At 40.6% G+C, this 12,139-nt stretch overlaps 1 protein-coding gene across 1 annotated transcript in view; it reads right to left on the bottom strand.

Annotated features, from left to right (window-relative positions):
• ANKRD62 (ankyrin repeat domain 62) overlaps positions 1–12,139 on the bottom strand; it is an 87,842-nt gene that overhangs the window by 38,989 nt on the left and 36,714 nt on the right. The window contains exons 17-18 of the transcript XR_001753188.2: positions 11,404–11,454; positions 10,625–10,777 (exon numbers count right to left, since the gene is read on the bottom strand). The gene's annotated coding sequence lies outside the window, so the exon portion shown is untranslated. The remainder of the gene's footprint in view (positions 1–10,624; positions 10,778–11,403; positions 11,455–12,139) is intronic.

Genomic DNA, 12,139 nt, shown 5'->3' with positions numbered 1-12,139 from the left:
GACTAGGGACTGGAGCAGGCCCTCAGCATACTGCAGCAGCCCTACAGAAAGTGGCCACACTGTTACATGGGTGCCCATTCCCGAAACTCCTCACCTGGCAGGTCCTCTAGCCACCCCTCGCCAGACCTATGGAGCCAGTGGCAGCTCGGCAACTCCATTGACACAGCCTCCAGGGGCAACTGAAAGCCTCTCTGCCACTGCCTCTGCAGTGGAACTGCCCTTGCTACCCTTGGACTAGTGAAGGAGCAAAGACCCTATGTCCTTGATCCACACCTCCAACGAGCTGCAGTTGACCCAAGGAGAGGAGGCCAGTCCATCTCCCATGGGCCCCACATGCTCCCCTCTGCTCACTACCAGACAGGGAACCCCCGGCTTGGGCCCACAGCACAGACACTCCAACCTGGGCTGATTGCACTGAGTGAATGCTGACCTGCATCTCTATGGGTGGAGCCCCCAGGAGACACGCGAAAGACCCTTGGCCACAGCCACTACTAAGGTCCCTTTCTCTGTGCCTCCAAGTTGGGGAAGGAACATAAACACTGAGATCGCCCCCGAGCTGCAGTGGGCAGCCCAGGAGTGCCAAGCCACAATCTACAGCCAGCACTCAAGGGGGAGAGGAACCCATACTTTCAGAGTACTGGGAAGGAACAGGGCTGCAAGTGTGGTTCAACATAGAGGAGCCACACAAACGAGCAAGAGTTTACCAACTGACCAATATTCCTAAGCGCCACCTACTGGATCACACCCTAGAACCTCAACACCAAAAGTACCTTGCTAACATACTCCCATCTGAAACCAAAGACAAGAAGTCAGCTTCAAATCAAGACCCGAATAAAGTGTCAGTTCTGTGAAAACATCCAGAAAAGAAGTCTATTGACTGTACTGAGTCTGCACTGAAGTTAAAGGAACACCCACATGCAGAGATGAGAAAGAACCAACGCGAGAACTCTGGTAACTCAAATGGCCAGAGTGCCATACGTCCTCCTAAGGACCACAACAGTTCTCCAAGAAGAGTTCTTAACCAGACAGAGCTGGCTGACATGATAGAAATAGAATTCAGACTATGGGCAGGAATGAGGACCGTTGAGATTCAGGAAGATGGCAATACCTAATGCAAGGAAACCGAGAGTCACAATAGAATAATACAGGAGCTGAAGGATGAAATAGCCACCATAGGAAAAAAAAACACCACCACCACTAAGAGGCCTGACGGAGTTGAGTAACACAATACAAGAGTTTCACAAAGTCTACAGCTCCCAGTGTGAGCGACACAGAAGACGGGTGATTTTTGCATTTCCAACTGAGGTACCGGGTTCATCTCATGGGGTAGTGCCAGACAGTGGGTGCAGTGCACCGTGTGTGAGCTGAAGCAGGGCGAGGCATCACCTCACCCGGGAAGTGCAAGGGGTCAGGGAATTCCCTTTCCTAGTCAAAGAAAGGGGTGACAGACAGCACCTTGAAAATCAGGTCACTCCCACCCTAATACTGCGCTTGTCCAACGGGCTTAACAAACGGCACACCAGGAGATTATATCCCACACATGGCTCGGAGAGTCCTACGCCCACAGAGCCTCGCTCATTGCTAGCACAGCAGTCTGAGATCAAACTGCAAGGCGGCAGCGAGGCTGGCGGAGGGGCGCCCGCCATTGCTCAGTCTTGAGTAGGTAAACAAAGCAGCCAGGAAGCTCGAACTGGGTGGAGCCCACCACAATTCAAGGAGGCCTGCCTGCCTCTGTAGGCTCCACCTCTGGGGGCTGGGCACAGACAAAAAAAAGACAGCAATAACCTCTGCAGTCTTAAATGTCCCTGTCTGGCAGCTTTGAAGAGAGAAGTGGTTCTCCCAGCAGGCAGCTTGAGATTTGAGATCTGAGAACGGGCAGACTGCCTCCTCAAGTGGGTCCCTGACACTCTAGTAGCCTAACTGGGAGGCACCCCCAACTAGGGGCGGACTGACACCTCACACGGCCGGGTACTCCTCTGAGACAAAACTTCCAGAGGAACGATCAGGCAGCAGCATTTGCGATTCACCAATATCTGCTGTTGTGCAGCCACCGCTGCTGATACCCAGGCAAACAGGGTCTGGAGTGGACCTCCAGTAAACTCCAACAGACCTGCAGCTGAGGGTCCTGACTGTTAGAAGGAAAACTAACAAACAGAAAGGACATCTACACCAACAACCCATCTGTACGTCACCATCGTCAAAGACCAAAGGTAGATAAAACCACAAAGATGGGGAAAAAACAGAGCAGAAAAACCGGAAACTTTAAAAATCAGAGTGCCTCTTCTCCTCCAAAGGAACGCAGCTCCTCACCAGCAATGGAACAAAGCTGGACACAGATTGACTTTGACGAGTTGAGAGAGGAAGGCTTCAGAAGATCAAACTACTCCGAGCTACAGGAGGAAGTTTGAACCAATGGCAAAGAAGTTAAAAACTTTGAAAAAAAATTAGATGAATGGATAACTAGAATAACCAATGCAGAGAAGTCTTTAAAGGACCTGATGGAGCTGAAAACCAAGGCACGAGAACTACGTGATGAATGCACAAGCCTCAGTAACCGATGCAATCAACTGGAAGAAAGGGTATCAGTGATGGAAGACGAAATGAATGATATGAAGCGTGAAGAAAAGTTTAGAGAAAAAAGAATAAAAAGAAACGAACAAAGCCTCCAAGAAATATGGGACTATGTGAAAAGACCAAATCTACATATCATTGGTGTACCTGAAAGTGACAGGGAGAATGGAACCAAGTTGGAAAACACTCTGCAGGATATTATCCCGGAGAACTTCCCCAATCTAGCAAGGCAGGCCAACATTAAAATTCAGGAAATACAGAGAATGCCACAAAGATACTCCTCGAGAAGAGCAACTCCAAGACGCATAATTGTCAGATTCACCAAAGTTGAAATGAAGGAAAAAATGTTAAGGGCAGCCAGAGAGAAAGGTCGGGTTACCCACAAAGGGAAGCCCATCAGACTAACAGCTGATCTCTCAGCAGAAACTCTACAAGCCAGAAGAGAGTGGGGGCCAATACTCAACATTCTTTTTTTTTTTGAGATGGAGTCTTACTCTGTTGCCCAGGCTGGAGTGCAGTGGCGTGGTCTTGGCTCACTGCAAGCTCTGCCTCCCGGGTTCACACCATTCTCCTAGCTCAGCCTCCCAAGTAGCTGGGACTACAGGTGCCTGCCACCACGTCCGGCTCATTTTTTCAGTATTTTTAGTAGAGACGGGGTTTCACCATGTTAGCCAGGATGGTCTCGATCTCCTGACCTCGTGATCCGCCCTCCTCAACCTCCCAAAGTGCTGTGATTACAGGCATGAGCCACCGTGCCCAGCTTCAACATTCTTAAAGAAAAGAATTTTCAACCCAGAATTTCATATCCAGCCAAACTAAGTTTCATAAGTGAAGGAGAAATAAAATACTTTACAGACAAGCAAATGCTGAGAGATTTTGTCACCACCAGGCCTGCCCTAAAAGAGCTCCTGAAGGAAGCACGAAACATGGAAAGGAACAACCGGTACCAGCCACTGCAAAAACATGCCAAATTGTAAAGACCATCAAGGCTAGGAAGAAACTGCATCAACTAACGAGCAAAATAACCAGCTAACATCATAATGACAGGATCAAATTCACACATAACAATACTAACCTTAAATGTAAATGGGCTAAATGCTCCAATTAAAAGGCACAGACTGGCAAATTGGATAAAGAGTCAAGAACCATCAGTGTGCTGTATTCAGGAAACCCATCTCACGTGCAGAGACACACATAGGCTCAAAATAAAGAGATGGAGGAAGATCTTCAAAGCAAATGGAAAACAAAAAAAGGGAGGGGTTGCAATCCTACTCTCTGATAAAACAGACTTTAAACCAACAAAAATCAAAAAAGACAAAGATGGCCATTACATAATGGTAAAGGGATCAATACAACAAGAACTAACTATCCTAAATATGTATGCACCCAATACAGGAGCACCCAGATTCATAAAGCAAGTCCTGAGTGACCTACAAACAGACTTAGACTCCCACACATTAATAATAGGAGACTTTAACACCCCACTGTCAACATTAGACAGATCAACGAGACAGAAAGTTAACAAGGACATCCAGGAATTGAACTCAGCTCTGCACCAAGTGGACCTAATAGACATCTACAGAACTCTCCACCCCAAATCAACAGAATATACATTCTTTCCAGCACCACACCACACCTATTCCAAAATTGACCACATCGTTGGAAGTAAAACACTCCTCAGCAAATGTAAAAGAACAGAAATTATAACAAACTGTCTCTCAGACCACAGTGCAATCAAACTAGAACTCAGAATTGAGAAACTCACTCAAAACCGCTCAACTACATGGAAACTGAACAACCTGCTCCTGAATGACTACTGGGTACATAACGAAATGAAGACAGAAATAAAGATGTTCTTTGAAACCAAGGAGAACAAAGACACAACATACCAGAATCTCTGGGACACATTTAAAGCAGTGTGTAGAGGGAAATTTATAGCACTAAATGCCCACAAGAGAAAGCAGGAAAGATCTAAAATTGACACCCTAACATCACAATTAAAAGAACTAGAGAAGCAAGAGCAAACACATTCAAAAGCTAGCAGAAGGCAAGAAATAACTAAGATCAGAGCAGAACTGAAGGAGATAGAGACACAAAAAACCCTTCAAAAAATCAATGAATCCAGGAGCTGGTTTTTTGAAAAGATCAACAAAATTGATAGACCGCTAGCAAGACTAATAAAGAAGAAAAGACAGAAGAATCAAATAGATGCAATAAAAAATGACAAAGGGGATATCACCACCGATCCCACAGAAATACAAACTACCATCAGAGAATACTATAAACACCTCACTGCAAATAAACTAGAAAATCAAGAAGAAATAGATAAATTCCTCAACACATACACTCTCCCAAGACTAAACCAGGAAGTTGAATCTCTGAATAGACCAATAGCAGGCTCTGAAATTGAGGCAATAATTAATAGCTTACCAACCAAAAAAAGTCCAGAACCAGATGGATTCACAGCCGAATTCTACCAGAGGTACAAGGAGGAGCTGGTATCATTCCTTCTGAAACTATTGCAACCAATAGAAAAAGAGGGAATCCTCCCTAACTCATTTTATGAGGCCAGCATCATCCTGATACCAAAGCCTGGCAGAGACACAACCAAAAAAGAGAATTTTAGACCAATATCCTTGATGAACATTGATGCAAAAATCTTCAATAAAATAGTGGCAAACCGAATCCAGCAACACATCAAAAAGCTTATCCACCATGATCAAGTGGGCTTCATCCCTGGGATGCAAGGCTGGTTCAACATATGAAAATCAATAAACATAATCCAGCATATAAACAGAACCAAAGACAAAAACCACATGATTATCTCAATAGATGCAGAAAAGGCCTTTGAGAAAATTCAACAACCCTTCATGCTAAAAATTCTCAATAAATTACATATTGATGGGACATATCTCAAAATAATAAGAGCTATGTATGACAAACCCACAGCCAATATCATACTGAATGGGCAAAAACTGGAAGCATTCCCTTTCAAAACTGGCACAAGACAGGGATGCCCTCTCTTACCACTCCTATTCAACATAGTGTTGGAAGTTCTGGCCAGGGCAATCAGGCAGGAGAAGGAAATAAAGGGCATTCAATTAGGAAAGAGGGAGTCAAATTGTCCCTGTTTGCAGATGACATGATTGTATATCTAGAAAACCCCATCATCTCAGCCCAAAATCTCCTTAAGCTGATAAGCAACTTCAGCAAAGTCTCAGGATACAAAATCAATGTACAAAAATCACAGGCATTCTTATACACCAACAACAGACAAACAGAGAACCAAATCATGAGTGTACTTCCATTCACAATTGCTTCAAAGAGAATAAAATACCTAGGAATACAACTTACAAGGGATGTGAAGGACCTCTTCAAGGAGAACAAACTACAAACCACTGCTCAACGAAATAAAAGAGGATACAAACAAATGGAAGAACATTCCATGCTGATGGGTACGAAGAATCAATATGGTGAAAATGGCCATACTGCCCAAGGTAATTTATAGATTCAATGCCATCCCCATCAAGCTACCAATGACTTTCTTCACAGAATTGGAAAAAACTACCTTAAAGTTCATATGGAACCAAAAAAGAGCCCGCATCGCCAAGTCAATCCTAAGCCTAAAGAACAAAGCTGGAGGCATCAGGCCACCTGACTTCAAACTATGCTACAAGGCTACAGTAACCAAAACAGCATGGTACTGGTACCAAAACAGAGATATAGACCAATGGAAAAGAACAGAGCTCTCAGAAATAATGCCACATATCTACAACTATCTGATCTTTGACAAACCGGACAAAAACAAGCAATGGGGAAAGGATTCCCTATTTAATAAATGGTGCTGGGAAAACTGGCTAGCCATATGTAGAAAGCTGAAACTGGATCCCTTCCTTACACCTTATACAAAAATTAATTCAAGATGGATTAAAGACTTAAATGTTAGACCTAAAACCATAAAAACCCTAGAAGAAAACCTAGGCAATACCATTCAGGACATAGGCATGGGCAAGGACTTCATGACTAAAACACCAAAAGCAATGGCAACAAAAGCCTAAATTGACAAATGGGATCTAATTAAACTAAAGAGCTTCTGCATAGCAAAAGAAACCACCATCAGAGTGAACAGGCAACCTACAGAATGGGAGAAAATATTTGAAATCTACTGATCTGACAAAGGGCTAATATCCAGAATCTACAAAGAACTCAAACAAAATTACAAGAAAAAAACAAACAACCCCATCAAAAAGTGGGCAAAGGATATGAACAGACACTTCTCAAAAGAAGACATTTATGCAGCCAAAAAACACATGAAAAAATGCTCATAATCACTGGCCATCAGAGAAATGCAAATCAAAACCACAATGAGATACCATCTCACACCAGTTAGAATGGCGATCATTAAAAAGTCAGGAAACAACAGGTGCTGGAGAGGATGTGGAGAAATAGGAACACTTTTACACTGTTGGTGGGACTGTAAACTAGTTCAACCATTGTGGAAGTCAGTGTGGCGATTCCTCAGGGATCTAGAACTAGAAATAACATTTGACCCAGCCATCCCATTACTGGGTATATACCCAAAGGACGATAAATCATGCTGCTATAAAGACACACGCACACGTATGTTTATTGCGGCACTATTCACAATAGCAAAGACTTGGAACAAACCCAAGTGTCCAACAATGATAGACTGGATTAAGAAAATGTGGCATATATACACCATGGAATACTATGCAGCCATAAAAAATGATGAGTTCATGTCCTATGTAGGGACATGGATGAAGCTGGAAACCGTCATTCTCAGCAAACTATTGCAAGGACAAAAAACCAAACACCGCATGTTCTCACTCATAGGTGGGAATTGAACAATGAGAACACATGGACACAGGAAGGGGAACATCACACTCTGGGGACTGTTGTGGGGTGGGGGGAGGGGGGAGGGATAGCATTAGGAGATATACCTAATGTTAAATGACGAGTTAATGGGTGCAGCACACCAACATGGCACACGTATACATATGTAACACACCTGCACGTTGTGCACATGTACCCTAAAACTTAAAGTATAAAAAAAAAAAGTCAGGAAACAACAGGTGCTGGAGAGGATGTGGAAAAATAGGAACACTTTTACACTGTTGGTGGGACTGTAAATTAGTTTAACTATTGTGGAAGTCAGTGTGGCGATTCCTCAGGGATCTGGAACTAGAAATACCATTTGACCTAGCCATCCTATTACTGGGTATATACCCAAAGGATTATAAATCATGCTGCTATAAAGACATGCACACGTATGTTTATTGTGGCACTATTCACAATAGTAAAGACTTGGAACAAACCAAAATGTCCATCAATGATAGACTGGTTTAAGAAAATGTGGCACATATACACCATGGAATACTATGCAGCCATAAAAAAGGATGAGTTCATGTCCTTTGTAGGGACATGGATGAAGCTGGAAACCATCATTCTCAGCAAACTATCGCAAGGACAAAAAACCAAACACCGCATGTTCTCACTCATAGGTGGGAACTGAACAATGAGAACACCTGGACACAGGAAGGGGAACATCACACACTGGGGCCTGTTATGGGGTGGGAGTAGGTGGGAGGGATAGCATTAGGAGATATACCTAATGTAAATGACGAGTTAATGGGTGCAGCACACCAACATGGCGCATGTATACATATGTAACAAACCTGCACGTTGTGCACATGTACCCTAAAACTTAAAGTATAATAATAAAAAAAAAGGGAAAACAGATGAGAAAGGCAGGGACTATAGTTATGTCAATAGGGACAAACACTGCAATTTTAGTCAAATATGTGCCATCTTTGTAATAGATTTTGACAGGTAAATTCTAAATTATTTCCTTCTTGATAAGTAAATGTGATGCTTAATGACATGGCAGCTGTTGGTATCTTATGCCATTTATTAAAGGTCTACTAAATCCTTTCAAGGCATATGAGCCAGTGCTCCTGAGGAAAGCAGTGACATACATGCTTTCTCCTGATGTCTCCAAGTATGTAAAATTCATTAAAGCTATTCCTGAACAATATAAAGGAAGTTTCCTCAGTAAGGTAAATCTTCCCAATCTTTTGCCCTAGGAGAGAATGTGGATTATAGAAAAATAGTGGGTGTGAGTAAAGTGGGAAATTATTTGGGTAATGAGAATATATTTTTTTCTTTGGGGCAAGGAAGCAAATCATGAAAACAAGATTGGAATACAGAAATATGATACTAATATATATAGTAAATTCTTGAGAAAAGAGGCTGATAAAACAAAATTTTAAAACAGAAACAATAAAGAATACAAGATTTAGAACAAAGTTTATGAAAAAAGTGTAAAAAAATACATTCTTGTTCAGAATATATAAAGAACTCTTACAAATCAACTACAAAAAGGCAATCAATTAAAACATGGTCAAAGGATAACGACCAGGTTTTTCATCTAAGAACATAGACAATGGCCAGTAACCACATGAAAGGATGGTCAACATCAAAGGGAAAGGCAAATCAAAACCACAATGAGGTACCACTTCACACCACTAGAATGCCTATAATAAAAAAGATGAAAAATAAATACTGGAAAAGATGTGAAGAAATTGGAACCCTCATACACTGCTGGTGGAAATGTAAAATTGTACAGCTGTGTTGAATAACAGCCTGACAGTTCCTTGAGATTAAACACAGTTACTATTTGACCTCGATTCCCACTTGAGTATTTACCCAAGAGGAACATATGTCCACATATGTGTCCACAGTACGTTATTCATAATAGTTAAAACCTGGAAACAATCGAAATGTCCATCAACTGTTAAATAAAATGTGGTATTTCTCTGCAATAGAAAATTAATTGCAAATAAGAGGAAATAAACTACTGATACATGCTGTATGATATAGATGAGCCTTGAAAACATTATGCTAAGTGAAATAACCCAGACACAAAAAGCCAATGTTTTATGATTTCACTTATATAATATACCCAGCATAGGTAAATTCATAGAGACAGAAAGTAGAATACAGGTTACTAGGGATGAAGAGAAGGATTATAGGAAGATATTTAATGGGTACAGAGTTTCTATTAGGGATGATGAAAAAATTCTAGAAATGGATAGTAGTGATTGTTGTATGACATTGTGAATGTACTTAATGCCACTGAACTATGGAGTTAAAAATTGTTAAAATGCTAAATTTTATGTTATGTATATTTCACCAGAACTTTCAAAAAGAATTGACAAAGTTTAGAGCATTTTAAACAGAATACAAGATTTGAACTAAAAAATTCAAGAAAAAACTACATTTAAAAATTATTTTAAATTAAATATCAACTTAACCTTCTCCCCCAAATCAATTAATCTTATAATTACATTAACAACATAAAAACCATATGATTATGTATTAGATGCAGAAAAAGCATTTGAGAAAATTGAACATTTTTCATTAAAAAAATAACCTCAGCAAACTGGAGATACAAGAGAATTTCCTCGACATGTCAAAGGGCATCTTTAAAATACCTAATGCTAACATTCTATGTAATGATGAAAGGCTGAATGCTTTCCCCGAAGATCGAGAAGGCATGTCAGCTCTTACCACTTCTATTCAACACTGTACTGCAAATTCGAGCCACTGTAATCACTTTTTAAAAGGGAGTTGGGAGAAGGAAGGAAGGAAGGAAGAAAAAAAGGAAGAAAGAAGGGAGGAAGGAAGAAATGGAGGAAAACAAAAGGCATCTAGACTGAAAAGAAATAGGTAAAACTATCCTTATTCACAGACATAATCATCTATGTGGAAAACCAAGTGAAACCAATTACAACGTTACTGGCACCAATGAGTTTTGCCACATTGCAGGATACATGATCAATATATAAAAATCAATCGTAATTCTATATGTTAGAAATAAACTGCTAGGAATTGAAATTTTAAAAATAATACTATTTATAATAGCATTAAAATATAAAATTCTTGGGAATATATCTGACACTATGCAAAATATCTGTACAATAATAACTAAAAAGTATTGTTGAGAAAAATCAAAGAAGATCTAAGAAAATACCTTATTCACAAGTTGAGAGAGTCATCATTATTAAGATTCTTTACCATGACATAATGCAATCACAGTCCAAATCCAAGCAGGTATTTTGTAGAAATTGACAATTGATTTTAAGACTCTCATGGCATGTAGATGACACAGAAATGTGCAGTAACTCTGAAAAAAACAAAAGAATAAATTTAGAGGAAAAATACAATCCAGTTTGAAGAATTATTACAAAGCTACAAAAATCATAACAGTGTGATTTTGGCATAAAGATAAAGAGATCAATAGAACAGAACAGAGTCCAGAAACCAAGTCTACATAAAACACATACACACACACACACACACACACACTCACACATACACACACTCTCTCTCTCTCTTAAAATATGACTGGTCAAGTGACTGCTTATGAACTGTAATTGCTTGATACATGAGTCTAGCATCTCTTGGCCTTAAATCACTACCATAACCTTGAGAAGTTGATGATGCCTTTGTTTTCTGAGAACAGTTTCAGCGTGCAAGCTGACAGTTCCATAGAGATGGAACAAGTGTAGAGCCAGAAAAAAAAGGGATACACACAGACTTCTTAGGACTTTTTTTAAAGCTATTGAAGATGATAAACTAATGAGGCATAAGTATACTTTTCATTATGAATGTTTGTTTTCACATCTTTCAGTAATGTGTATAAGAAAAAGTATTTAATGTGGTATTTGTTAACCAAGCAACCCATTCACTATTTATATTTATTTCAGAAATCCATGATTTAAATTTAATTCATAATTTTTGGCAACATACCTTCATCTACTTCTGCAGTTATGTTTCCTTGTACACCTGCTGCATCTGAAACTGTCAAATCTTATTAATAATGTTTAAGTTAAACAAGAGACATTATCATGTAGCCCTATTATATGTCAAGGAGGGTTGATCAACACTAACTTGAAAATCTGAAATCCAAAATGCTGTACAATTTGAAACTTTTTGAGCACCCGCATGATACCACAACGGGAAAGGTCCACACCTGACCTCATGTGACAGGCTGTGGTGGAAACACAGTTAAAACTTTGTTACATGCAAAACATTTTTGTAAAACATTGTACAGGCCAGATGTGATGACTCACGCCTGTAACCCCAGCACTTTGGGAGGCTGAGGCAAGTGGATCACCTGAGGTCAGGAGTTCAAGACCAGCCTGGCCAACATGGTGAAACCATCTCTACTAAAAATACAAAAATTAGCCTGGTGTGGCTGCACGCACCTGTAGTCCCAGCTACTTGGGAGGCTGGGGCAGGGGATTGCCTGAACCTGGGAGGCAGAGGTTGCAGTGAGCTGAGATCACACCACTTCACTCCAGTCTGGGCGACAGATCAAGACTCTGTGCCCCACTGCATCCCCCAACCCCAGGCAAAAAAAAAAAAAGTAAAACATTGTGTAGAATTATCTTCAGGCTATATGCATAAGGTATATATGAAACATAAATGTATTTCACGTTTACTCTTGGGTACCATCCCTAAGGTATTTCATTAGGTGTATACA

The sequence above is a fragment of the Homo sapiens genome, chromosome 18 (assembly GCF_000001405.40).
Source record: "Homo sapiens chromosome 18, GRCh38.p14 Primary Assembly".
NCBI classification, from domain to species: Eukaryota; Metazoa; Chordata; class Mammalia; order Primates; family Hominidae; genus Homo; species Homo sapiens.
Note: the sequence above shows the minus strand (reverse complement) of the source record. Positions and strands in the feature narration are given on the sequence as shown.